Source organism: Homo sapiens, chromosome 10 (assembly GCF_000001405.40).
Source record: "Homo sapiens chromosome 10, GRCh38.p14 Primary Assembly".
NCBI classification, from domain to species: Eukaryota; Metazoa; Chordata; class Mammalia; order Primates; family Hominidae; genus Homo; species Homo sapiens.
In genome coordinates, this window is record NC_000010.11 from 6,076,005 (window position 1) to 6,103,011 (window position 27,007).

At 43.9% G+C, this 27,007-nt stretch overlaps 1 protein-coding gene across 2 annotated transcripts in view, besides 9 other annotated features; it reads left to right on the forward strand.

The window, feature by feature from the left end:
- Nucleotides 7,657-8,157: a transcriptional cis regulatory region, noted in NCBI's record as "chr10:6125624-6126124 region (GRCh37/hg19 assembly coordinates) targeted for CRISPR interference". NCBI's record gives its function as "negatively regulates IL2RA gene expression in anti-CD3- and PMA-stimulated Jurkat T cells {active_cell/tissue: Jurkat(+anti-CD3 and PMA for 4hr)}" and the evidence as "EXISTENCE:mutant phenotype evidence [ECO:0000015][PMID:33828297]".
- Nucleotides 12,682-12,731: an enhancer, noted in NCBI's record as "active region_2952". NCBI's record gives its function as "activates an Ori minimal core promoter by ATAC-STARR-seq in GM12878 lymphoblastoid cells {active_cell/tissue: GM12878}" and the evidence as "EXISTENCE:reporter gene assay evidence [ECO:0000049][PMID:35858748]".
- Nucleotides 12,892-13,331: a silencer, noted in NCBI's record as "silent region_2097". NCBI's record gives its function as "represses an Ori minimal core promoter by ATAC-STARR-seq in GM12878 lymphoblastoid cells {active_cell/tissue: GM12878}" and the evidence as "EXISTENCE:reporter gene assay evidence [ECO:0000049][PMID:35858748]".
- Nucleotides 13,030-27,007, forward strand: part of RBM17 (RNA binding motif protein 17) — a 28,414-nt gene continuing 14,436 nt past the window's right edge. Inside the window, exons 1-3 of one of the 2 annotated variants that reach the window (NM_032905.5) lie at nt 13,030-13,189; nt 21,044-21,184; nt 25,267-25,383. In NM_032905.5, coding sequence (NP_116294.1) covers nt 21,062-21,184; nt 25,267-25,383 — 240 coding nt within the window. In that variant the 5' untranslated portion in view covers nt 13,030-13,189; nt 21,044-21,061. Of the gene's footprint in view, nt 13,190-13,341; nt 13,968-21,043; nt 21,185-25,266; nt 25,384-27,007 lie in introns of those variants that run through there. The other variant, NM_001145547.2, reaches the window with a different exon arrangement.
- Nucleotides 13,342-13,431: a silencer, noted in NCBI's record as "silent region_2098". NCBI's record gives its function as "represses an Ori minimal core promoter by ATAC-STARR-seq in GM12878 lymphoblastoid cells {active_cell/tissue: GM12878}" and the evidence as "EXISTENCE:reporter gene assay evidence [ECO:0000049][PMID:35858748]".
- Nucleotides 13,688-14,526: an enhancer, noted in NCBI's record as "H3K27ac hESC enhancer chr10:6131655-6132493 (GRCh37/hg19 assembly coordinates)". NCBI's record gives its function as "activates a minimal SCP1, AML or CMV promoter by ChIP-STARR-seq in naive H9 embryonic stem cells {active_cell/tissue: H9 hESC(naive)}" and the evidence as "EXISTENCE:reporter gene assay evidence [ECO:0000049][PMID:30033119]".
- Nucleotides 13,702-13,761: a silencer, noted in NCBI's record as "silent region_2099". NCBI's record gives its function as "represses an Ori minimal core promoter by ATAC-STARR-seq in GM12878 lymphoblastoid cells {active_cell/tissue: GM12878}" and the evidence as "EXISTENCE:reporter gene assay evidence [ECO:0000049][PMID:35858748]".
- Nucleotides 19,814-20,315: an enhancer, noted in NCBI's record as "H3K4me1 hESC enhancer chr10:6137781-6138282 (GRCh37/hg19 assembly coordinates)". NCBI's record gives its function as "activates a minimal SCP1, AML or CMV promoter by ChIP-STARR-seq in naive H9 embryonic stem cells {active_cell/tissue: H9 hESC(naive)}" and the evidence as "EXISTENCE:reporter gene assay evidence [ECO:0000049][PMID:30033119]".
- Nucleotides 20,316-20,815: an enhancer, noted in NCBI's record as "H3K4me1 hESC enhancer chr10:6138283-6138782 (GRCh37/hg19 assembly coordinates)". NCBI's record gives its function as "activates a minimal SCP1, AML or CMV promoter by ChIP-STARR-seq in naive H9 embryonic stem cells {active_cell/tissue: H9 hESC(naive)}" and the evidence as "EXISTENCE:reporter gene assay evidence [ECO:0000049][PMID:30033119]".
- Nucleotides 20,919-21,519: an enhancer, noted in NCBI's record as "NANOG-H3K27ac-H3K4me1 hESC enhancer chr10:6138886-6139486 (GRCh37/hg19 assembly coordinates)". NCBI's record gives its function as "activates a minimal SCP1, AML or CMV promoter by ChIP-STARR-seq in primed H9 embryonic stem cells {active_cell/tissue: H9 hESC(primed)}" and the evidence as "EXISTENCE:reporter gene assay evidence [ECO:0000049][PMID:30033119]".

Here is a 27,007-nt window from a genome sequence, read left to right on the forward strand (position 1 = left end):
TTTAAATGTTTAAATCAAACGTCTTGGCTAACGCTTAATCAGGGTCATGTTATTCATGCACACCTCAACATGATTGTGTTTTGGAATATATACCACAATTCTTCCCTTGTAAATATACCCTGAATATTTAATAAATAGTTGCTCGATGAATTAATTGATTAATTATAATCAAAGTCTGGACACTAGAAGAATAAAGAAGAAAAAAAAGAAATCTGGCTGGGTTCAGTGGCTCACGCCTGTAATCCCAGCACTTTGGGAGGCTGTGGCAGGCAGATCACCTGAGGTCAGGAGTTCGAGACCAGCCTGGCCAACATAATGAAGCCCTGTCTCTATGAAAAATCCAAAATATTAGTTGGGTGTGGTGGTATGCATCTGTAATTCCAGCTACTAGGGAGGCTGAGGCAGGAGAATCACTTGAACCCGGGAGGTGGAGTTTGCAGTGAGCCGAAATTGTGCCAGTGCACTCCAGCCTGGGCAACAGTGCAAGACTCTATCTCAAACAATAACAACAACAACAAAGAGATCTGTGCTTGGAGCTTCCAAGGGACAGCAAGAGATAACATGGTGGAAGGTTGTGGGGGATAGAGGTGGTGCTTGTTAGGATAGGGAGCAGGTCTGAGAGGGGAAATTGGAAGACACCAAGGGCAAGCTTTTCACACTACCCAAACGTTCCAAACCACCACATAAAATGTTTTTTCTCTGCTTTGCTGTTACTTTTCCTCTTCTTTTTATCTCTACTTTTTCTCTTTCTCTCCTGCTGTTTTCCATTTTGAACATTTCTTCTTTTTTAACTTCTATCCCACTCATTATACCAAGATCAAACAATAACTTATACTAATAATTTAGACCTTCTTTTCTTTGGACTTTTAAAATTTTTGTTTTTGAGTGAAATACATGTTTATTGTACAAAAATTTATATGATCCAAAAGGGGAAAACGATAAAAAGTACATTCCCCTCTACTCCCTGTCCCAAGCTACCCACTTACCCTCCCCCGAGACGAACCAGTTTTTTGGTGTGCATTTGTCCAGAGAGTTTTCTAAGTGTGTAGGAGCATGTTGCATACATAGTCATCAGTGCTGTCTAGACACTCAGAAGGCAGACAAGGAGATGGATTTGGGATTGCAGGATACTGATTGGGATCAACCTCTGTGAAAAGACGGGGAAGGAAGAAACAGGACTGGGCAGCGGGAGAAGCCAAACTGCCACACAACCTTTGCCAGCCATGGGAGCTGCAGAGCACCTGGCGGGTCAGTCATCCTGGGGTGCGCCGGCATGGCCGACCCTGTCTGCTCCCACCACTATCTGTCATTTTGGATCCTGTGAAGAAGGGTATCCAAGTGGGTGAGGTAGTTCTCTACAGCTGAGGCCAACCAGAATACAACTCTGGCTAAAGTCTATCTGCTGTTAGCTCCCAGCAGCTGGCTATGTCCTTCGTTGGGGGCCTGGTTGGGCACCTCTGTGTTCCCTTTCATCCATCTCAGCACTGCTCGGATAGACTTCTCCATGGACACCAAGAAACAGGCCCTCCAGCTTGCTGCTGACCTCTCTTCTGGGGAAAGTGAGGAGAGGGAGGTTAAAAGGAAGACCTGCAACTCCTGCTGCCGCCGCTGTCCCTGAGCCACAGCAGATGCTCATCCTCACCTGCACCCTGTGTCCCGGAGAGCCGCAGGCCCAGCCACCATCTTTGCTGGTCTTGGGGGCTTACCTGGTGGGGTGGTCAGCCCTCATCCCTGGGGGGTCTGTGTCCCTGGTCATCATGTCCTTCTTAGGCCAGAAAGGATACACTAGTCCAGTTGGCATCACAAATGGCACAAGGAGTGACTTGAGGAGCTGAGGTGCACCTGATCTGCTGATCAGGGTCATACAAAAAGCCGGAGGTGCCTAGGTTGCAGGTGCAACTCATAATCCACTGAGACTTTTGTGTCCCTTGGCAAAAGTGTGATTCCTTGGGGATCAGGACCTCCAGCCCTGCAGAGCCCAGAGTTGCAGGACTAGGAAACACAAGGTCCACTGCTGGGTCTTCGGGAGCAATGATAAGGCCACTTATGCCGTTTGGTTTCCAGACCCATGTGTTCTTCCTACTGGGGGGGGTCAGACCGTATAAAGCTTTTTTTTTTTTTCTTTTGAGATGGAGTCTCAGTCTGTCACCCAGGTTAGAGTACAATGGCACGATCTTGGCTCACTGCATGCCTGGCTAATTTTTTGTATTTTTAGAGGAGACAGGGTTTCACCACATTGGCCAGGCTGGTCTCCAACTCCTGACCTCAAGTGATCTGCCCGCCTCAGCCTCCCAAAGTGGTGGGATTATAGGCCTGAGCCACCAGGGCCGGCAGCGTAAAGGCTTTTGATTCAAAGTGTATACTGCATTCTGGAGAATGGTGCACCACCATCACACACTGTCACCTCTGAGTTGACATTTTAGTGCCCCTTTAGCCAACTATTTCAATGCTTGGGCCGGCAGCTTCTGCGTGGTGCAGGCTGTGGTGTGATCAGCCTAGGGAAGTGGGAGTCCATGCTGCAGGGCTCCAGGACAGCCTCTGTGTCTCTTATCCTGCCACTTCTTTCATGGCTCTACCATGCCAGCACTTGGGTGACCAATGAATGACAGGGCTGGCTGGTGTCACCAGGGCTGGCTTTGTCGTTCTGTCTGCTTGATTGGTTAGTGCATCTTCTGTGATGGATGCTTCCTGGGAGCAAAGTCATGAGATACAAAGACCTTCATGCTTCACACTCACTCTGTTTTTGTTTTTTTTGTTTTGGTTTTTGTTTTTTTTCAGTAGTGCAATGGCATGATCTCGGCTCACCTGCAGCCTCTGCCTCCCAGGTTTAAGCAATTCTCCTGCCTCAGCCTCGAAGTAGCAGGGATTACAGGGGCCCACCACCACACCCAGCTAATTTTTGCATTTTTAGTTGAGATGGGGTTTCACCATGTTGCCCAGGCTGGTCTTGAACTCCTGACCTCAGATGATCCACCCACCTTGACCTCCCAAAGTGCCGGGATTACAGACGTGAGCTACCACACCCAGTCTTTCCCAAATCTCTGACCAGAGAGCCAAGTCTTCTATACCACTCACAAGTAGGTGTCTATTGGAATCTTAAACCACGTCTCCTTCCCACACAGAGTGGATGGCTGGGTGTACCCCTCAATGCTCTGCCCATTGAAGGGATTTTCTCTCACTGTCATTTTTCAAGGCCACTCCTCAGTGAAGCTGGGATGCATCTGCTGTCTATTTTTGGCTTGCATTTTTATAATGAACTTGCTTATGTAAAACAAGCTCAGGCCTTTCCCTCCCCTGTGAGCTGGGGAGTCATCCCCGTAGAAAATCATGATCCTTTGTCCAGTATTCAGTTCTAAGGCGATGATCGGTCCCAGCATCCATTGACCACCCTCCCCACCAGGAGGAAGGAATCTGCAACACCATTGCAAGGATCCAGTGTAATAATTCCCCATCGGCAGGGCACAGTGGCTCATGTCTGTCTGTAATCCCAGCACTTTGGGAGGCTGTGAGTGAATTACTTGAGGTCAGGTGTTCGAGACCAGCCTGGCCAACATGGTGAAAATCCATCTCTACTAAAAATACAAAAATTAGCCAGGTGTGGTAGTGGGCACCTGTAATCCCAGCTACTTGGGAGGCTGAGGCAGGAGAATCACTTGAACCCAGAAGGCAGAGGTTGCAGTGAGCCGAGATCGTACCACTGCACTCCAGCCTGGGTGATAGAATGAGACTCCATCCCAATAATAATAATAATAATAATAACTCCCCAGTCATTCACCAAATGGGCCTGTGATCCTTTACTTGGGCAAACATCCTACGGAAAGGAAAATAACCAACCATGTGAAGAATTAGTGTTGACATTGTTATCTTGAGATCTGAGGTTAGACTGTGGGTGTAGAGAGCAGAAAATAATGAATTCCTTGCCAAGGTCCAGTTTACGTGAACCCACCTCATGGTCCATTTTCCCAGTCTCTGAATATGCAATTGGGATTGACATTCTAGAGAACTGGCACACTCCCCAAGGCGGTTCCTTGGTCTGTAGAGTGAAGGCATCATAGTGAGAAAAGCCAAAAGAGAGATGCTGAAGCTTCCTCTTCTAAAATCAAGATAGAAAATTAAAGACAATGTCACAAGCCGGGTGTGGTGGCTCACGCCTGTAATCCTAGCACTTTGGGAGACCGAGGTGGGTGGATCACCTTAGGTCAGGAGTTTGAGACCAGCCTGGTCAACGTGGTGAAACCCCGTGTCCACTAAAAATACAAAATTAGCTGGGTGTGGTAGCGGGTGCCTGTAATCCCAGCTACTCTGGAGGCTGAGGCAGGAGAATTGCTTGCACCTGGGAGACGGAGGTTGCAGTGAACCGAGATTGTGCCACTGCGCTCCAGCCTGGGCAACACAGTGAGACTCCATCTCAACACAAACAAACAAAAAAACAAAGACAATATCACAGCCCAGGGGCTGGCAAGGATGGCAAAGATGAGTGCCATGCTTAAGGATCTGAAGCAGGACTTGCTTAAAATTTTAGACCTCGTGGGTCATGCAGACTCCATTGCAACCGTTTGCCTTTGCCATAGCAGCACTCAAGCAACTAGAGACAATCTGTGAATGAATGAACATTTTTCAGTTTGAATAAAACTTTACTTATGGACACCAACATTTGAGTTTCATACAGTTTTCACATATCACAAAATATTATTATTCTTTTGATTTTTTACCAACTATGTGAAAATGTGAAAGCCGTTTGTAGAGCAAAGGTGGTATAAAAACAGGAAGTGGGCCAGATTTGGCCCGTGGGTCATAGATGGTGGACTACTAATCTGAAGGATGCAGGGGTGGTGGTCCCCATCATATTTCCATTAAATTCACCAGTCTGACCTTGGAAGACACCAGAGAGATCCTGAAAACAACAGCAGACTACCACAAAATCAGTGAAATAGAAGCCATAGTCATAGCCACCAGAGCAGATTAACACAGCCTCAGGTAGCTTGTGTGCAGCATTACGATTTGGCCAAGTTTATTTATTTATTTATTTATTTATTTATGAGACAGAGTTTTGCTCTCGTTGCCTGGGCTGGAGTGCAATGGTGTGATCTCGGCTCACCACAACCTGTCTCCCAGGTTCAAGTGATTCTCCTGCCTCAACCTCTCAAGTAGCTGGGATTAAGGCATGCACCACCATGCCCCACTAATTTTTTATTTTTAGTAGAGATGGGGTTTCACCACATTGGTCAGGCTGGTCTTGAACTCCTGACGTCAGGTGATCCACCCGCCTTGGCCTCCCAAAGTTCTGGGATTACAGGCATGAGCCACCATGCCCGGCTATTTATTTTTTAACCATAAAAGAGAATCAGAAATAGCTGCAAGGGGGAACAATATACATTCACAGTTTTATCCTAGGCCTACGTTAATTCTCCTGCCCTCTGTAATAATGGGGAAGAGAACTGGATGGTCCAGCTCTTCTGCTGAACATCACGGGGATATTTTGCCAACCAGGCCAGATGAGCACGAAGTAGCTAACGTGTTGGAAGTCCCCATAAGGCACATGAGCTGCAGAGAGTGGGAGGGACTCTTAATAATATGCTGGAGGCTGCCACATCCGTAAAAATGTTGGAATCCACTGCTCAGGGGTGTGCTGGGACACACGTACCGAGTGACACACCCAGTTGTCTCTGACACCCTTTTTTTTTTTTTGAGACAGAGTCTTGCTCTGTTGCCCAGGCTGGAATGCAGAGGTGTGATCTTGCCTCACTGCAGCCTCCGCCTCCCAGCTTCAAGTGATTCTCCTGCCTTAATCTCCCGAGTAGCAGGGACTACAGCTACCTTTTGTAGAACGTCAATGGAACCTAGCAACAGCCGTCGAATTCCATGGTCCTTAGAGATACCATTTTCCCGCACTTCTCAAACACCTAACATCACACACCAGCTAGTGCCCTCCCTTGCCCAGGTATCCCATCCCAGTGCACCTGGAAAGTTTGCTAAAATTATGACTGTCCATGTCCATTGAGGTTTGCTATCTTTTCTTGGTCTCTCCATCTGGGCCTCTTATGTTTTTGGCAGGGTCTGTTATCTGATGTCCTACTTTCACAGCAACTTCTGCTCTAATTTGCTGAGCACAATCAGCCCAGGTCTCACCTCCTTTTCCCACCATATTGTCCCTTAGATCTCTGCTTTAAGCTCTTAGTTTATAGAGGTTACTGCTCTATTATATTAACAAAATCCATGACTGTATACTCAGCCCAGGTGTTTGCCTGTTCCATCACAATCTCTTTCTGGGGCTATTTTACTTTCCCCCCCTTTTTTTTTTTTGGTTTAACATTGAGTTGATCTGTGTTGGGTACCTTTTTTCATTTTTGTGGAAATTTCTGAGTCAGTTCCTTCCTAAGCAAGCCATTTATAGGGGTGTGGGTAGGGAATATCCTGAGGTCCTGGTCCAGAGTAGCAGAAATTCTTAGACACAGGGAGGATGTGTGTAGAATCTGTTCTTTTAGCCTTTATTTCACTCCATCAGCAGCTGCAAAAATGCTTACAGTTTCTTTCTTTTACTTACCTCAGTCACAGTCTGCTTCCCGCAAAAGTGTGATTCCTCATCCCCCAGATCACTGCCTCTTCTACTTCTCCTGCATTGCAAAAGCAGCCAGGAGCACATCCCATTTCTATTGGTCCAAGCAAGGGAATGTTGGCTTTGCTCATCTATGTAAGCCTCTTACTGTGCAGGGCTGTGCTATTCTGGTACCTGAGGTGCTCAGCGCAGGGAGCGTTATCCTGTCCTGTTTTTCTTTGCCTGCATATGGCAGCCATTTCCTGTAGTCTAGAGTCAGACGCGTATTCTGGTTAAAGACCAAGTCTACACTTCTGTTTCTTATCCATCTGTGGCTTCAGGTGATATCTAAGATGACAAAGACCAGGGCCAACTCAACTTCTCCCTTTTAAAACTCAAGCGCTTGCTCAGCCTGGGTTGTAACAGTCAAAGCCAAATAGAATTCTTCATCAATAAACTATGATACAGATCTAGGATGAGTTTCTAATAAACTAGACTCAGAAATTCCAAGATGGAATTCAAACATTTTAAGGAATCATCCCAAATTCCCAAGTCTTACCCGAATGTTGTTAGAAATAAAAATGCTATCTTAGACTTGCAAATCTGTTTCCCTGTACAGAGATGGTGTGTCACAGTGAGCTGGAGCTCTGCCCATGTTTTCCTGGGGGAGCAAGGCGTGGAATTTCAGAGTACGGCTTTGGAAGCTGGGAACTCTGGGTCCAGGTATTTATGACCTTGGAGAAATAACTTCAAGCTGCCAAATGGAGATGATCACAGCTACCATGTAAAGCCTATAGGAGGATTACATTGGCTAAAATATGTAAATCACTCTTCCCAGAGCCTGGTGCATAGGAAGTGCTTGTTAAACGACATTATTGTCAGAGTGGGAAGAATGGCAGACTTCCAATGGGATTGGGGGGACTAAACAGTACAGTGCCAGAGATACGCCTCGTGGGAGCATCGCTGTCCTGCTCATTATTTAAATCATATTCCCCTTATGAGGCAGCTTAAGATACTGAAAAGCACACTAACCTCAGTCAGGCAACCCTGGGTCCTCATCAGAGTTCAGTCACTCACTGGTTGTCCGACTTCAGCAAATCCCCTAACCTCTCTGAGGATCAGTTTCCTGTTCTGAAAAATGTGCATAACAACACCGGTCTTGTTGAGTCACTGGGAATGCGTGAGATAATTTACACTAAAACCCCTGGCACACGGTTGGCAGTAGTTCTCCCCGACTCTCCTAGGAATGTTTTTCCTCTGTGCTGAGCTGTTGTCACTGCTCTTTGCAACACTTTTGCTCCACGGAGGGGGAGGATGTAACTTGAAAGGGTTACTAATCCCTCGAAACCCTCAGATCACAGATAAACTCATTTCCCGATCATGCCACGTAAGCCAATGATCTGGCTTTGATAACCTGATCACACGTTGGGGACCACATTAAGGTTGCCACTCAAAGCTGTACTCCTGTTCAAAGCGTTGGAGCAAGGTTTGCTGTTCTGCCCCTGTTCTCTGGGGATAGCACTAAAGGGCACAACGGAAAGGATAACAGTGCCCCAAGGAGGCATCACTCACAGATGAAGCTCTTGGCCTCACTGGCTGAAGAGTGGGAACCTCCCAGCTGGGAAAGGATAAAAACAGTTTATCATTTTATTGACCATTTTAGGTTGTGTGCATATGTAAGCTTGGCACTTAAAAAATATCCACACGAGCCCAGGTGCAGGCTTATGCCTGTAACCTCAGCACTTTGGGAGGCTGACGTGGGTGGATGACTTGGGCTCAGGAGTTCAAGAACAGCCTAGGCAATACGGCAAAACCCCGTCTCTACAAAAAATACAAAAAAACTAGCTGGGGATGGTGGCACATGCCTGTAGTCCCAACTACTTGGGAAGCTGAGATGGGAGGATTGCTTGAGCCTGGGATTTCGGGGCTGCAGTGAGCAGTGATTATGCCACTGCACTCCAGCCTGGGTGACAGAGTGAGACCCTGTCTCAAAACTATATCAAAATAAAAAATATGCATATGAAAGCCATAAATTGCACACAAAAGTTATGTTTTTAAAAAAGTAAATTTCTTATTGAAAAGATTAGTTTTCAACTAATCAATGCAATTTAAAAATGTATGAAAATATTTTCAAACAAGCAGAACAGACACCAATTAGGTGGAAGATGAATTAAAACTTTAAAAATTTCAGAAAATTCTATGTACTTTAAAAATTGATGATCTCCTTCATTATATTTTTATTTTTATTTTTCTCTTTTTTGAGACAGTCTCACTCTGTAGCCCAGGCTGGAGTACAGTGGTGAGATCTCAGCTTACTGCAACCTCTGCCTCCCAGGTCTGAGCGAATCTCCTTCCTCAGCCTCCTGAGTAGCTGGGATTATAAGCGCCCACCACCATGCCCGGCTAATTTTTGTATTTTTAGTAGAGACGGAGTTTCACCATGTTGGCCAGGCCGGTGTGGAACTCCTGGCCTCAAGTGATCCACCCACCTTGGCCTCCCAAAGTGCTGGGATTATAAACGTGAGCCACCGCGCCCAGCCTTCTTTCATTATTTTTATTACAAAAGCAATGCAAGCATATTACTCAGAGATAAAAAAGGCAAACAAGCAAAAAAATTTAAATAAAGAATCCTGATAATCCCTATCTGGAGCCAGCCATATTGGCAAATACCTTATAGATACTTTGTATATATTTATAAATTTTTAAAACAAAAATGGGATCCTTCCATGTAAATTATTTGTCTCTCAACATAATTGAATTTCCCTAAGTTGTTATTGTTCGCTAGTTTGTTCCTATATTTTTACTATTAGAAACCTTACAGAGCAGGAATAACTGTAGAGAATGATTTAGAAAGACAAAAAAAGTGAAAAAACTTTAAAAAATCTGTGAGATGGGCCGGGCATGGTGGCTCACACCTGTAATCCCAGCACTTTGGGAGGCCAAGGCGGGTGGATCACTTGAGGTCAGGAGTTTGAGACCAGCCTGGCCAACATGGTGAAATATCATCTCTACCAAAACTACAAAAATTAGCAGGGCGTGGTGGCAGGCGTCTGTAATCCCACCTACTCAGGAGGTTGAGGCAGGAGAATTGCTCGAACCCAGGAGGTGGAGGTTGCAGTGAGCCCAGATCATACCATCGCACTCCAGCCTGGGCAACAAGAGAGAGACTCCATCGAAAGAAAAAGAAAGAAAGAAAGAAAGAAAGAAAGAAAGAAAGAAAGAAAGAAAGAAGGAAAGAAGGAAAGAAGGAAAGAAGGAAAGAAGGAAAGAAGGAAAGAAGGAAAGAAGGAAGGAAGGAAGGAAGGAAGGAAGGAAAGATTTCTGAAATGGCCGAAGCTGCTTAGAGATATACATGCCTGTAATCCCAGCACTTTGGGAGGCCGAGGTGGGCGGATCACCGGAGGTCAGGAGTTCGAGACCAGCCTGGCCAACATGGTGAAACCCCGTCTCTACTAAAAATACAAAAAGTAGCCGGGCATGGTGGCGGGCACCTGTAATCCCAGCTACTTAGGAAGCTGAGGCAGGAGAATCGCTTGAACCCGGGAGGCGGAGGTTGCAGTGAGCTGAGATTACTCCATTGCACTCCAGCCTGGGTGACAAGAGCAAGACTCCGTCTCAAAAAAAAAAAAAAAAAAAAAGATACAAAAAAGGAGACAAAAATCATTCTCCACGGTGCACCGAAAGCATCCCTACACACAGAATCCTTGGGAATACTTGTTTTTGATCAAATTATAATCTGATCAAATTGTCTTAACTAGCTTGTCTTCCCTCCAGGGCCCACACCCCTTTCTTTTCCTGTTTCGGGGTCCCCCGGTTCCATCCATGCTGCATACTGTAGCATTTCACCCAGCCTTTCCTGCCAGCCCAAACACCGCCCTTATCTTCTTTCTTCCTGGAACATCTGCCCTGCTAATTCCCAGTTTCCGATGAATTCTACCATCTGCTGCCTGCCAGCCTCCTGCCAGGCGCTGAGCACAGCTGGAGCAGATCACACGACTTGTTTACGCAGGAGTCACTACCGATGTTTGCTCTGCAGCCCCGAGGGGGCGCTCCAGCGCGTCTGTCTTGTCCCTCTTCTAAAGCTCCACCGTTTTGTGTGCGCTTTCTGATAGTTGCATGGCCTGGGTTCTGTTCCCCCATTGGGTTAAGCTTTGGATTCTCGGTGCATAAAATAAAGATGATATTTGTTACTATTGACAGGAAATGGAGGCAAGCATGAGACTGCTCACGTACTAGGAAATGAAGTAAGGCAGTTTTCCTCCTGGAAGTTAAACTAGAAAATTCCTAAACAATGGATGTGATTGCATCTATGGTCTGTAAACCAAAAAGTTACTTGTGTATGTATGATGGAATGATTTGGGAACAAAGGCACAAATTTTCAACCAAAAAGGGAGGAAGGAGTGGTCTCAGACTGCAGAGTGGAGACGCCAAGCAGATTAGGGAGTACAGGTAGACAGCAGGTTCAACCTGGAGGAAGTCCTGCAGCTCTGGACCTCCTAATCAGGGCTTTTGCACCCCCACCGGTGCTTTGATCACGGGGTGGGGAGAGACCCAGTCTAGACACCTTCTATCTTTGCCCTTCTTCCTTTTTCTGTTTACACGCTATTACTTTCTGCTTCTTTTATTGACCAAGTACGTCCTTCTGCTTCTCACATTTTTATTTTATTTCCAGTTTCTTGCACAAGTGCTTAATTCATTTAGCTTTTTCCAAGTTTTTAATTGATACAAAAACTTAAAACCATGAATTTTCCTCTTAGTACTCTCTGAGCTAAATCCCATGAGTATGTCATTTTCATACTTTTCTAGATATTATGTTATTTTGATTTTGTTTTCCTTTTTAGTCCAAGTGTTATTTAAGCATTTAAAAATTTTCAAGGGGTAGGCATGTTTTATTTTCTGTTTTTTCATTAATTTCTACTTTTATTGAATTGCTGCAGATAATATTACCGATATGATTCTACTTATTGGACTATGTTAAGATTTTTCTCTGTGGTTTAAAATATGACTAATTGTTGTGAATATTCCTTAGACACTGGAAAAGATGTAATGTCTATTTAGGGGACAGTGTTTGATATATTAGATCTATCATAGGAATTGTATTTTTAGGTCTTCTCAATCCCCATTTACTTTTTGTACTCTTCGTCTGGCAAGGAGTGTGCCAATTATTTCTGTCTATTCACTCACTCCTACAGTGTTTGCTATGAATAATGAGATTATGTGATTTGGTGCAAAGATTTTCCTATTTTTCCTATTTTTTTCTTGATTGTGAATTGTGCTCCTCAAGATTATAAAATGTCCTTCTTAATCTTACTTAATGCTTTTTGCCCTGAAATCAACTTTGTAGTAAGCGGTTTGTGATTCCTGATTTTTTTAATTTTTTTGCATATTCCTGGTATATCTTTTCCAATCTTGTATTTTCAAACTCAGAATAACGTTAGCACTTTCTTGTATACAACACTGAGTTGCATGATGGTTTGTGCTCCTATCTGAGATTGTAGTTTTTTAGTAGGTAAGCTTAGGTCTATATTTCTTCTTGTGAGACATTTGGTCTTGTTCTGTCATATAGTTTGGTTACGCTTTCTGTTTTGTAACTTTTTAAAATATTTCCCTATATATATATTTTTTTTGCTGTGGTTTTGTGTGTGTGTGTGTGTGTGTGCATGCATGTATGTGTGGGTGCATGTATGTGTGGATTATTTGAAAGCTTTGTAGTTTTGTTCTGGGTTACCCTCAGAATCATACCATCCCATGACGTCCTTAATCCTCTATTTCTTTAGATTGTCTTTTGTCTCTCCACTGTATTTCTTTTTTCCCCCTTTTCCCGTTTTCTTAATGACTGGATTTTAATGGATTATAGTAACTTTCTTGGTATACTCCTTCGGACTAAGACGTCTGCTTAAATCTCTACTATTTGATTTATCGGCTTGAACTCTATTTGACACCCAATTAATTACAGATGTAAAAATCATATTTACCCGAAGTCCCACTTTCCCTTTCCCTCCCTGCTTCTGTCAGCGACGTCGTTTTTAAAGACCGAGGCTTTATAGCATTGACATTCTTTTCTGTACCCCTAATCGCGGCATCTGTTTCCATAATCTTACGCTTAACCTCGTGCTCCTTGCCATCCTTTTGCAGCATCTGGCCTATGCAGACTTATTTTCAACTTTTTGCTTATATAGGAGTGGCTTTGAATGAATGAGATCGAGGGGCCTGGAGGGACTTCCCCCACCTCCCCTATCAGAAAGCCCGGCCTCGGACCACTTCTCCTCCTCACCATCTGGGGGCGCTGCCGCGCTCCCCAAGCCTTGTGGAATTTCGAAAATGTGCGCCAGGGCGACACCTCTTGATGGTAAGAAGACGCCGGCGGAGGGGAGCGTGCAGTGCGGTCCTCCCGCGGGCAGGGGGCAGTGCGGCAAGGCGCCCTCGGCGCAGGCGCAGAGGCCGAAGCAGGCGCAGGCGCAGGCGGGGCGCAGGCGCGGGCGCGCTCTCCCGGCAGCCCGCGCTCCCTGACCCCGCGCCGCCGAGCGCCCTGAGGACTCAGCGAAGGGTGGGCGCCGCCGAGGCCTCCTGCCGCTGGCGGGTTTCCGCGGAGTGCCGCCCGGCTCCGCTCTGCCGCCGGCGCGGCTCATGGGCAGAGTCGGCCGGGCGGGCCGGGTAAGTGGCGCCCCGGCGGCCCCGGGTGGGTGGCCTGGCGGGACCTGAGGCGGGCGCGCCTTCCCGGGAGGCGCTAGACGCAAGCCCGCGGCTTTAGGCCCGTCGCGAGGGGCGGAGGCCGGGCCAGCGCAGCCGGAGCCTCCGAGGGTCTCAGTCCCCGCGGCGGGCGCTGGTCTCTCCACGCGGCTGCGGCCCGGTACCCTCCGCCCGCCGCCGCCTCTGGTGACCCTGGCCCTGACCTTCTCCCTCTTCCCTTCCTCCTCCTCCTCCTCATGTCTGCCTCGGGCTGTTTGGTGCTGAAGAGCGTTTCTTCTCCGTCTCGTGCACCGCATCCTGACGAAATTGTCTGGTCACCAGAACCGAGTAGCCCGTAGCGTGTCCCCCCTGGCCCTGCACGGTTGCCCCTCTCTGGGGCTCGGAGCCGGTTCCTCCCGGGGTCTCAGAACTGGGAGTGCAGACGTTGGCGTTTCTCAGACTCCGGAGCTGCCCGGGACAGGAATGCAGCCCTAACCCCGGCGTCGCCTCGGCTCGTGCAGTTTGAGCGGTGTTTCAGCGCTCACGTCCGACCCCAGGCAGTCTTTGAGCTTCGCCTCTTGCCCCGAGAATGTGTAATGATCGGAGAATGCAGGTGGAATGAGGTTCTGCCCCTGCTTGCAGGAGTTTGGTTTCTGGGAAAGCAGGCGTGAAAACCCAGGCCCGGGTTGATTTGAGAAACGCAAGTGGGGTCTGGAAGGACCTCTCTTGAGAGAGGAGGTCATGCTTATGTTGAGTCTTGAAGGTACGTTGTTAGATGTGAGAGGTGGGAAAAAGGCTGCCGGCGGAGGAAGTAAGTGCGAAAGTAGCAGAAGCGAAGCCCCGTAGTGCGTTCTGGAAGCTGCAGGTTAGGCAGAAAGAAAGGTTTGAGGAGGGGCTGCTGTGTTTCCAGGAGTAGTCAGGTCAGAACATGGAGGTTTCTTGAGAAGCAGTAAAGAAGCGCCATTGAGGGTCCTTATTTTGCTAGAGCCAGGCATATGGATGGGAAATAGGATATTCTAGATAAGGGCAAGATTCGCATATACTCAAATAGATGGGTAGATGTGCACTGGCTCCCCGCAGCAGATGGAGTTTTTAAAAGGATGCAACACAAGTTTCCACATTTTTAGTTGTAAAGGCTGCAGACATTTTGATCGTAATGACAGCTTTTAGGGAATATGGGGTAACAGTTTAGTGAGCTAAACGAGAGGGCTTTATTTTTAGAGTTAGTTAAGCAAGGTGCTGCGTGCTGTCCAGTTTATAACAGAGCAGGTTGTGCGGTTGTGGAGCTCTGCGGAACCAAAGGCAGCCTTTCTGGAGGCTCTTGAGAGAATTGTTGTACACTTCCAAATGCAGCTTTATTTAAAGTGGATTTCTTTTTACCTGGTTTGTTTTAACTTACCTTCCCATTCTCCCCTGCCTATGAATTTTTCAGACCTCCTCCCAGCAGGGAACAGATGATCCCAGGCTAGTCATCTCTCAAACCTTTCATAATAGTCAATAGTGAAGGAAGTTCTGTTATTCGCCTAAATTACAGGTGACTGTAGTGGACTGTGTTTGCAATACTAGCCTATGGCATTTTGGTAACAGCCAGAGGGTGGGATTGAATGGAAAGATTAAACTGACAAGGGCGTCAGATGGAGGTATGGGAAAAATTTTTTTTTAATTCTTTAGAAAGTCATGGTAGATCTTATACTTGAGGTAGATGCTTTTTAAGCTGTATTTTTTGCGGACACCAAAGTGCACCACCCCTCCTGTTCCTTTCTGGGTATATTTGCCATATATATGTATATAAATATATAAATATTTATATATTTATATATATTTATATATTTTTATATATATATTTATATACATATATTTTTTTCTCCTGAGACAGAGTCTCACTCTATAGTCCAGGCTGGAGTGCAGCGGTGTAAGTCGGCTCACTGCAACCTCCACTTCCCAGGTTCAAATGGTTCTCTGGCCTCAACCTCCTGAGTAGCTGGAATTACAGGCGCTCGCAACCATGCTCGGCCAATTTTTGTATTTTCAGTAGGGACGGGGTTTCACCATGTTGGCCAGGCTGGTCTCGAACTCCTGATCTCAAGTGATCCTCCTGCCTCGGCCTCCCAAAGTGCTGGGATTACAGGCGTGAGCCACTGGGCCCGGTCTTGCCATATTCTTTAGGCTTCAAAGAGGCATGCTTTGTTTTATGATGCATGAATATCTGTTTAGTGATAGAAATATTTCTTGCTAACAAGCCTGCCTCTTTAGGTGCTCAGAACTCAGACCTTGACTCGTTATTGGTTGTGTGGTGGTGGTAGTTTTTTTCTCCTTAATTATGGTTTGCAATTTAAATTTTATCCTACTTATCATAAGTTATGTGCTTAAAAAGCAGATCTGCAGATCTCACTGTTTCATAATAATGTGATTTAAATAGGTGCACTAACATTTTTCATCCATTCACTAACACATTTAAAAAATATTAATAGAGCCACTTAACAATGTTCAAGCATGGTGCTGAGCTAGAGATACAAAGCTGAACATAAGAAACACCCCTGCCTTTAGGGGGCTTACACTGCAGGAAGAAACCGCTGTGTGAAACAATAGGCAGCATAACTTGCCAAGGTTGCTGTGATCTGAGTATGCTTGAGGAAACCAGTTGGGGGGGGTTAGTTTTATGTGGGGGCAATAGTCACTAAAGGCTTCTGAGATGCACTTGAAAGATAAGTAGGTGGGGTGCTTCTGAGAAGACTCTTCCATGTTCTTTTTCCTGCCAGTTGCACATGTTTTAAAAAAATACTTTCCAGCTTGGGTGGAATCTTGAAAACTCACCATTCTTCCTTCTGGCAGAACCATGTTTGTTATGTTTCCTAAGAAAAAATGTAGCATATATGAAACGTGGGTTGCTCAAAGGGAAGTGTTGCCACAAAAAGGAAGGAAATAGCAAATATTTTAAAGTTATAAAAACCAGCAATTTGTATTTACTTTTGATCCTGGCTTCTTATGGTATATCCAGTTGTTACAAAGTACAGCTTTTTGTTACCTGGCAGCAGACCTAATGAAATAAATGTGTTATGTTGTCTAAGTAATAATGTCAACGTTAATTAGGGTAAGTTTGGGTCTTGGCAGTCTTATTAATGTACTTATTACATTTCAGTAGTTGCGGTGGGGAGAATTAATGAACAAACTATTGTATATTAAATGCTTAATATAGCGAAAATAAAGAATACACACTTTTTAAGGAATAGATTAACTAAAACTGTAAATAAAATTAACATAAAAGGAGGAAAGCAAGGAAATAATGAGAAGAGGATTCCGGGGAAATTACATGAATGGGTTGGGGGAGTAGTATGGTTGAGTGTGGTTTCTTAGTCTAGATCCTGTCTTGTTTTGGGTGGTGAATTCACAGGTGCTTGCAGCATTATAATAATTAAACAAAAGCAGGTAATAAGTGTGTGAATGGATGAGAGTGTGATGTTACTATGATTAATCCCATTCTGTGAACTTAAAATTCAGTGAAAATGAGAAAAACGAAGAAAGCACTTTTGCATTTGCTGTGATGCAGAGATTTGATTTTATAAGCTCAATGTTACAGAAAACTAGCAGGTGCTGGTAAGATGACATCAGTTTCTAATATTTAAAGCGTTTTGCAGGTTTGAGAAGAGAAATGAGGACCTTTAAATGAGCATGAGATTTGCTGCCTGATGATTTCTGAAACTTTTGCGCAATGCAGCAAATCAACTGGAATTGTCAGTCAGCCATCTTAAATGACATGGAATCAGAGGAGATGTGTGGTCTCATAAAATCTCATTAATTCACTATTTAATTTTTGCTAAATATTGAATCTATTGATGGAAGAACTGTTGGCAGCTGAGATCTAGTACACTGCTAGATTTTTAGCCTCAAAGTTTAGAGAACTCTTTTCATCAGAGTTGACTCTTCTGGGGAGGGTGAGGAGTGTTGCCTCCCTCTCTGGGGGTTACTTCCTTCCCTTATTCCCCAGTGCTGCCTCTTTGCCTATTTATTTTTTATTTTATTTTTTTGAGACAGTCTCGCTCTATCATCCAGGCTGGAGTGCAGTGGTGCAATCTTGGCTCACTGCGACCTCCGCCTCCCGGGTTCAAGCAATTCTCCTATCTCACCCTCTTGTCTCAGCTGGGACAGGACTACAGGCGTGCAGCACCACACCTGGCTAGTTTTATATTTTTAATAGAGATGGGTTTTCACCACGTAGGCCAGGCTGGTCTCAAACTCCTGACCTCAAGTGATCCGCCCGCCTCGGTCTCCCAAAGTGCTGGGATTACAGGCATGAGCCACCGCAGCCGGCCCATTATTAGTATTTTAATAAAGCTTATTAAATGCTTGCTATATGACAGAAATTGTAGATGCAAAAATAAATAAGTGAATCTTTCCCCTCGAAGTTTAATGGGCATTTGGTTAACCCATTTCTGGTGGCACTAACGTATTCATAAACACTTTCGGTAAAGTTCTCAAGTTATAAAGAGAAATGGGTTGAGTATCCCTTACCCAAAATGCTTGGGACCAGAAGTGTTTCAGATTTCGGATATTTTTAGATTTTTAGAATGCCTGCATATACATAATGAGATACCTTGAGGATGCGACCCATGTCTAAACACAAAATTCATTTATGCTTCATATATACTTTCTACACATAGCCTGAATATGCAATATATGTCATACTTTTAATAATTTTATGCATGCAAAAAGATTTCACTCTGTTTTTGACTGTGACCCATCACATGAAGTCAAGTGTGGAATTTTTTTTTTTTTTTTTTTTTTTTGAGACAGAGTCTCACTCTGTCACACAGGCTGGAATGCAGTGGTGCAATCTTGGCTCACCGCAAGCTCTGCCTTCTGGGTTCACGCCATTCTCCCGCCTCAGCCTCCTGAGTAGCTGGGACTACAGGTGCCCGCCACCATGCCTGGCTAATTTTGTTTCTGTATTTTTAGTAGAGACGGGGTTTCACCGTGTTAGCCAGGATGGTCTCGATCTCCTGACCTCGTGATCCACCCGCCTCAGCCTCCCAAAGTGCTGGTATTAGAGGTGCGAGACACCGCACCCGGCCTGGTGTGGAATGTTCTACTTTGGGGTCATGTTGTTGCTCGGAACGTTTTAGGTTTTGAAGGATTTCAGATTTTCATACTGGAGATAGTCTGTATTGAGAAAAGCAAATATCTAGAGTTTAGTTTGAGTTGCAAACAAATTTTGATTTATCTTTGTGATTTCCCAGAAAGTCGCATTGTTTATTTCTCAGAATCTGTTAGTATTCCCTTTCCATTTTAAGAATAAAGAAAGAACAGAAGAACCTGTAGTTCAGTAGGCTTTGGTTTGCTGACCAGTTGGATGAAGAGGGCTCAAAAGATTAAACTAAGTTAGATGAAAGGTGCATGGTCATTTCTGAAGAAATGTGTTTGGGAGCCACAGTGCTAAGCTGGACACTCAGCATGGTTTTTCTGTGCTGTTGCTCTGTTTGAGTTTTCTTAGATTAAAATTTAAGGGTATGTATCTAGATGTGAACAATGAGTTTTGAGTTCTGGGTAAGCTGGAAGAAAAGTGTACAAAAGCCTCAAAAGCTGTTTGGTGCAGTGTTGTTCCTTCTGGCCAGTGATTATTGGCCAGAAATTTCTAATTGAGAGGGCTTCGCAAATGGAGTATAAACTGCAGTTTGGCCTCATTTCCTATTTAGCTGTGGGTTGGATATTGATCTTAGTCTGGGGATAGAGCAGTGAACAGAACAACCTGGATCTAGGTTTTCTTGGAGTTCAGAGTTATTAAACTAGGCTCTGAAGTGGACATCAGGGGATTCCCTCCAAGACTTTGAGGACATGGTTATATTTCATCCATATTTCTTAAGGAATGGAGTTCATTATTTTTTCTTGATTTGGCCTCAGTGCTTCAGGCCTGTCACGAGACATCCCCAAGTTCCTGAAAAAGGTCAGTTTTGCACTGAAGACATCTATCAGGAGGAGAGTCTGTCTGCATCCCGGCATCCCTTCATTCTTTTCTTTTCTTTTTTTTTTGGCGGAGTCTTTATCTGTCACCCAGGCTGGAGTGCAGTGGTGTGATCTTGGCTCACTGCAACATCCATCTCCCGGGTTCAGGCGATTATCATGCCTCACCCTCCGGAGTAGCTGGGATTACAGGCACCCACCACCACGCCCAGCTAATTTTTGTATTTTTAATAGAGACAGGTTTTCACCGTGTTGGCCAGGCTGATCTCTTAACTCCTGACCTCAAGTGATCCGCCCACCTATGCCTCCCAAAGTGCTGGGATTACAGGCGTGAGCCACCGTGCCTGACCATCCCTTCATTCTTATGTGATTCATTTGAGCAGTCGGCCATCAATACCCCTGGACAGTCTGCTTTCCCTGCTTCTCTACGGCCTTGCGGGGACCTTTCATTTAAAAATCAAAATGGAGAGGTTTTAGTTAATTTGAGGGTTCACGTATGAAGGAATGGAAGAAACTAAAAAGTGGTGACAGTTTTCTGGGGTGCTGACTTCAGGCAGGGAGTTACTGTACTTAAGACCAGGGCAGTTCTTCTGAGGGAACAGAAGTTGGTGTGCACTCCGTCCCCCACTCCACACAGTGTGGTACCAACATCAGCGAAGGTGTTGGGGCGGCAGGGTCTTAGAATCCCTGTAATGGGGGAGCTGAGAAGTAAGAGTACCTTCAAGAGAAATGCTTGCCGAATCAGACCTAAGGAGGGTATGTGTTAAATATTTTCCTCCTCTCCTGAGCCACAGAACACAAGCAAATTAGGCTTTTCAATAACACGGTTTCCATGGGAAAATGCTTTATGGGCCCCCTGGGAACTGACAGACTTATTTGTCCATAAACTGGGAACTACTGTGCTAAGCATTTACTTGCAATTTGTGGGTTTCTGTTTAAATTAAGTTCTCTTTCTGTCTGTGAGATTGATTTCTTATTTGAAGAAGTAAGCTATGTTGGTGGGTTTCAGAATGTTGATTTTTTTTTTAAAAAGTGGCAGTTGGGGTTCACTGGCGAGGGCTCTGGAGTTGGCCTGGCTGGGTTGGAAGGGGCTTCCGCTGTGGCCTTGGGCAGATTGATTCCCTAAACCCCAGCATCCATGTCTGTGCAGTGCTGGGCTTTCATGGGACCTGCTGCCGATGCTGCATTGCATGTCATGCTTTGCGCCTGCTGACTCGGTTTTTGTTTCCACGTGTTCCTCTGTTCTGCACGGAAGCTGTGTGTTGCTCGTTCACATGCAGATTGTTGATTGTCTCTTTGTAATCACTATCATTAAAGATGACAGATTTCCACTTGGTGTGATATGAGGAAATCAGAGTATTTAAGATGTAACCAGTCTACTCCCCCCTTGATAATTGTAATTGACAAAATCACATCTAAGAGATCATTTCTGTCATTTTTTTCCCTAGGAGTACGTTTAAATTTTTTCTTTATAAAAGGGTAGCTAATTGTGCTACATCAACCTGCTAATTGGTGTTTTTGTAAAGCTTCTACTTTTTGGCACTGACATAAATAGAATTTTTTAAAAATTGGATATATGTAATTAATAATGTTCCAATTCTTACCTCATTATGTGCCCTAGCATTGAAGGATTTCACTCATGGATCACTTGACTGCATGATCTTATAGATGGAAAAATGAATTTTAGAGGCTTATTTTAAAAATAATCCATGGTCTAGCTTCATGTATCAGGAATAGCCCTACATTAATGGTACCAGGAGCCTGGGCCTCTGTTGCTGAAAGGTCCTGGACCTTTTACCTCTAAAATTTCATGATACTTATTTTAACATGAAAAGCCTTTATTGAATTGTGCATTCTTTAATCCCCACCCCTTTTGCCTTTCAGCATTAAACTGAAGAAAAGATGTCCCTGTACGATGACCTAGGAGTGGAGACCAGTGACTCAAAAACAGAAGGCTGGTCCAAAAACTTCAAACTTCTGCAGTCTCAGCTTCAGGTGAAGAAGGCAGCTCTCACTCAGGCAAAGGTAAAGACAAGCCCAGAGCATGAGAGCAGAGGCCTCCAGAGTGGGTTCCTCATTAGGATGACAAGGAATTTGGTTTCAGCTTGCTCTTCTGCCTTTGTATTGGGTAAATGGTGTTAAGCATTTGTAGGGGGAGAGGAATGAGGAGTTTAAGGCCACTTTGCTACTCCTGGCTCCTGGGAATAGGAACATTTCGTGGGGTAGGAATGAAGAAAAACAGTACTCTGCGGGGGCTGGGCGCAGTGGCTCACGCCTGTAATCCCAGCATTTTGGGAGGCCAAGGCAGGCAGATCACGAGGTCAGGAGATCCAGACCATCCTGGCTAACAAGGTGAAACACCGCGGGCGCAGTGGTGGGCACCTGTACTGCCAGCTACTCGGGAGGCTGAGGCAGGAGAATGGCGTGAACCCGGGAGGCAGAGCTTGCAGTGAGCCGAGATCGCGCCACTGCGCTCCAGCCTGAGCGACAGAGCAAGACTCCGATTCAAAAACAAACAAACAAACAAACAAAAAAACAGTACTCTGAACCAGCAGTGACACTGCTTTTCAAACTTAAGTAGTGGAGGTCTAAGATTGAGTGAGAACTTGTTTAAGGTGCTAATTTTGTAGCCTTACTCCTGATATTCTGGTAAACTGTAGTTCAGGCTGGAGCCCCAGGAGTGGGAATTTTTAAGTAGCATTCCTACTGGTTTGGTGGAGGTAGTTTGGAAGCAGCACTTTGGGAAGAAGCTCCACAGAATACCTAAGCTGCTGCGTGCAACTTATTGAGGGCTCAGGTTGATTGTGAAGGCGTCAGGCATAGGTAGTCTGGATGCTGATTGCTTTTGTTTCTGTTGTGTACATGTTGGGTATTGGCAATGTCCTTGAAATAACATGTAAAACATTAAAAACCTAGTTGTCGACTGGATATTTGCCATTAAAATGTAGGCATGAGAATGGTATTATGGTTTGTTTACTACTTTAGAGATCTTTATGTTCTAGAGTATGCATTCGTAATGGAGGCTATATCCCCCCAAACAGAGCGAATATTGGTCTTTTTGGGGGTGAAAAAACCTTGCTCGTGTTGTGCACAGTGTATCTGTGGTGTGAAAATTTCATGTGCGGGAGAAAATTTAGTCAAAGGCTCCTTGCTGGGGAGGCAGTAATTAAAGTTGAGAAAAAGTACTTTAGAGATGTGTACTGAAATATTTACCGATAAGATGATGTCATTTTTGGGATTTACTTCTAAACAATTCAGTCCCGGGCAGGGGAGGGAGGGAAGAACAGAACTACCCATGAGTTGATAATTGTTGAAACTGGATGTGGATAGTAGAGACTTAAGAATTAATATTAATCTCTAATTTCATGTTTGAAAATTTCCGTAATACACAGGTTTTTTGTTTTTTTTTTTTTTTTTTTTTTTTTTTTTTGAGACGTAGTCTCACTTTGTAGCCCAGGCTGGAGCGCAGTGGCATGATCTCAGCTCACTGCAAGCTCCGCCTCCCAGGTTCACGCCATTCTCCTGTCTCAGCCTCCTGAGTAACTGGGACTACAGGCGCCCACCACTGCGCCTGCGGTGTTTCACCTTGTAAGCCAGGATGGTCTCGATTTCCTGACCTCGTGATCCGCCTGCCTTGGTCTCCCAAAGTGCTGGGATTACAGGCGTGAGCCACCGTGTCCGGCCAATACACAGGTTTTTTTTCTTAAAAGTTCTACTCATTTTTCTTTTCCCTTTACCACATCAATAGATACTTACATGGAAGTGCTTACATTTGATTGTTCAGTATTGTAGAGAGGTTTTTTTGTGTTTTTAAAATTCATCATTACCAAATTTAGATTTTTTGGATGCCAGTATTTTGTGTTTTTTTTAAAACAAGGTTTCATTCCAAATGTAAGGAGGGTTAGCAAAACCTCGTTTTTCTCTTTAATTTTTTTTAAAAGTACATTTATAAAATCTTTGTAGATTTCATGTAACTTTTGCTTTGCAGGGAAGATGCAGGTGTGAGCCACCGTGCCCGGCCTCATATAGATTTTTAAAACTTGAGGTAGCTTGTGAAGTTATTTCTACTAACTTTATAAAACTTTTGAGATTGCTATGTACAGTTAGTTTTGTGGGTTTTTTTTTTTAAGGGAAGTGAAGATTGCATTCTCTTAGGCTGTTTAGTTACTCAGAATACTAGATTGGCCTAGCCAAACCTGTAAAGGTATTTATTTGGTAGAGAAAATTTGAAGCTGTGGTTTCATTTGTATCTCCATTTGAAAAAATACAGTTGTTTCTTGGTGTCCACAGGGGATTGGTTCCAGGACCCCCCTGCCCATACCAAAATCCAAGCGTGCCCAAGTCCCTTATATAAAATGGTGTGGTATTTGCACGTAACTAACACACATCCTCCCATATTTTAAATCATCTGTGGATTGCTTGCAATACCTAACACAATGTAAATGCTGTGTAAAAAGTTGTTATACCGTATTGGTTTTTTTATTTGTATTTTTTGTTGTATTGTTTTATTTTCTTAATATTTTCAGCCTGGGGTTAGATGTGGAACCTGTAGATACAGAGGGCCAACTCTATATTGAATAGAAAATAATAATAATAGAAAATATGTGATTCTGGCTGGGCGTGGTGGCTCACACCTGTAATCCCAGCACTTTGGGAGGCCAAGGCGGGTGGATCACCTGAGGTCAGGAGTTTGAGACCAGCCTGACCAACATGGTGAAACCTTATCTCTAATAAAAATACAAATATTAGCCCGGTGTGGTGGCGTGCATCTGTAATCCCAGCTACTCTGGAGGCTGAGACAGGAGAGTTGCTTCAACCTGGGAGGCGGAGGTTGCAGTGAGCCGAGATCGAACTCCAGCCTGGTGACAGAGCAAGACTCCATCTCAAAAAAAAAGAAAGAAAGAAAATATGTGATTCTAATAAATCCCCCTTCCGTTCTGTAAACTTTCGTATTTACTTTGTGAGTTGTTAATTGGATTAAATTTTGTTTGCTTAAATTTATAAGTATTGTTATATTCAAGAGAGATGAAGGCTTATTTTGTGCCTTTTATAGTGGTAATGAAAATTTGTAACACTTTAAATTGCAAAAGAGAAAAATTAAACCTTTCTAATCAAAAGATCTAATGGTTACCACCATACCCATATGATCAACCTTAGCATTGCTGTTAGACGGCCTGACGCAGTGTGCCTGCTGTGTGTTGCAGGAAGGGGCACACTGCCTCACCTGGGAAGTGTTCCTGCCTAAAAGCTTTACCCTGAATTCGATCAGGCCTTTAACCTCCAGGTTTCAGGAATTACAAGGCATAGAGGAACAAGCTCAACTAAATAACCAGGTAGTTATTAGACAGATCTAGAACAAACAGCATTTTACAAGATAGTGTCAGAGGAAAAAAAGGAAGAGGAGATGAAGATGATGGTGATGATGATGATGGGGAAGAGGGACTGTTCTTAATCAAGACACTTAAAAACCAAAAGCATTTCAGGAACTTTGGTAGGATCCTGGTTCAAAAAAAAAATCAGCTGTTTAAAGGACATTTTTGGGATATCTTGGAGAATCTGAATGTGAACTGGATGGGAAATGACATGGGAATTAGTGATTTTATTAGGGGTAGTAATCTGACAGGAGAATGTCCACGGTTTCAGGAGATTGGGGTGAAGTGTCATGATGTCTCCAACTTTCTTTCAAATGGTCTAGCAAAAAATACAGGTGTAAGGGCAAGAAGTATGGTAGAACATTAACAATAATTGAATGTATAGAAATGATTTTCTTTTAAAAACTTTTTTTTGTAGATTCATAATAAAGGAGATAGGAAGGATTCTATATCCTAGTAGGAGGGAACAAAACTCTTATCCCCAAGTATCTTTTGAAAGTGACTAAGTTTACTGTAAACCTTTCACAGAAATGGAGAAAATCTCATGTTTTTGAAAAAGCTGAAAGAAAATAATATATGATTATAGTAATAAATTAAAAGGCTGTTGTTTTGAGATTATGGTTTTCTCATATCTCAAAGGTTTGTTGCAGGGACCAGAAAGAAAATCTTTGTTGCAAACAGTGTGAATTTTAATTTGAAACTTCAGTATGTTTTCCTTGTTTTTGATGATTTTAGAGCCAAAGGACGAAACAAAGTACAGTCCTCGCCCCAGTCATTGACCTGAAGCGAGGTGGCTCCTCAGATGACCGGCAAATTGTGGACACTCCACCGCATGTAGCAGCTGGGCTGAAGGTAAGCCCGCGCCTGCCTGTGAGCTTGATACGTGTCTCTGTTCCCATGTGGCTTATTTTGCATATGAGTTACTCTTAACAGATGGCCTCCTTGGTGGGCCTTTGAAACCAAGTTAGTATCATTTTCCACCTAATTTTTACTTCTGTTTTGCCAATTTTAAAATGTATCTATTTGAAATTAAATAGTTTGTTGTAGAAAAATCAGAAACTAGAGATACGCAGAAAGAAAAACAAATTACCTTCAGTCATACAATCCGGAAGTGAAAAACGTAATATTTTTCCATCCTGTGCCTACTCCACCTTCTGCTAACTTGCTTTTCTTACTTAATACGTTGTGACTCTGTCAAAAAATACAGGACTGTATGATCACGTTTATGGCTTCACTATATTCCCTTGTATATAGATGGACTATAATTTAATTCCTTTAATGCTGGATATATGGGTTGTTTCTATTTTTTGCTATCATAAACAGTGTTAGTACTTACTGATTTATTGTGGATTAAAACAGAGAAAGGGGTTTTAAAACCCACTTCTACCACCCTAACCTGTATGATTCCAGTGATTTTACATATGCTTAAAAACAAACATGTGGTCAACTCTATAAATTGGGTTATTGAGGATGAAGAAGATCTGGAAAAGGATAACTCAAAATCATAGTTAAAACTAGACAAAATGAGGTAAAATGAGTGAATAAACTAGTTAAAATTATACCCACAATTTAAGTATACATTTATCTTTCCACAGATGGCGTTCAAATAATGACTGTGGTCATTTAAACAGCATCATGAATTGCACAAAACCGCTTGATGAAAAATGACCAAAAGATTAATAATAGTGCTATCGAGACAGTTTCTTAGCAAGGCGCGCCTGTCCTCCCCACCACCTGTGGGAAGGGCTGCATCAGGCTGGGGCAAAGGGCACACTCCTGCCCATCTGTTTCACGTCACTGTTCTGGGTTGGGCTCCGTCTCCTGCCTGTCCTGCTTATGTTCTGGGCCAGTCTGTGGCTGCAGCTTACCCTTGAGTTGTCCTTTTCTGAGGGGAGCGGGTGCTGTTCCTGAGGGCTGGTAGTTCTTCTGGAGGGGAAGCACCACATGGTGGAGGTGTTTTTTTGCTGATTCCTAGTCATTGAGCATTTTCCCCCATAAATTTGATACCTAGTTTATTCCTGCTACATCTAATTTAAAAACTGGTTCATAGTTTCTTCTGTAATCGTGTATTGGTTCTAGTACCTATAATATTAGTCTCCTATTTAATGAGTAAGCCTTTTTCCTCCTTGTTACATAGTTTTCACGATCAGTTTTTAATTCTCATTAAGCGAATGCATCATAATTTACACAAGTATTCCCTAACTGTAAAACCACCTAGATTTGCTTTTACATTGCCTTTATAAATACCACTCTAATGAACATCTTTTTGTGGTTTTTATTTTTGAGACAGGGTCTTGCTCTGTCACCACGCTGGAGAGCAGTGGTGCAATCTTGGCTCACTGCAGCCTCCTCCTCCTGGGCTCAAGCGATCCTTCCACCTCAGTCTACTGAGTAGTTAGGACCACAGGCATATGCCACCACATTTGACTAATTTTTTGTAGAGATGAGGTTTCACCATGTTGCCCAGGCTAGTTTT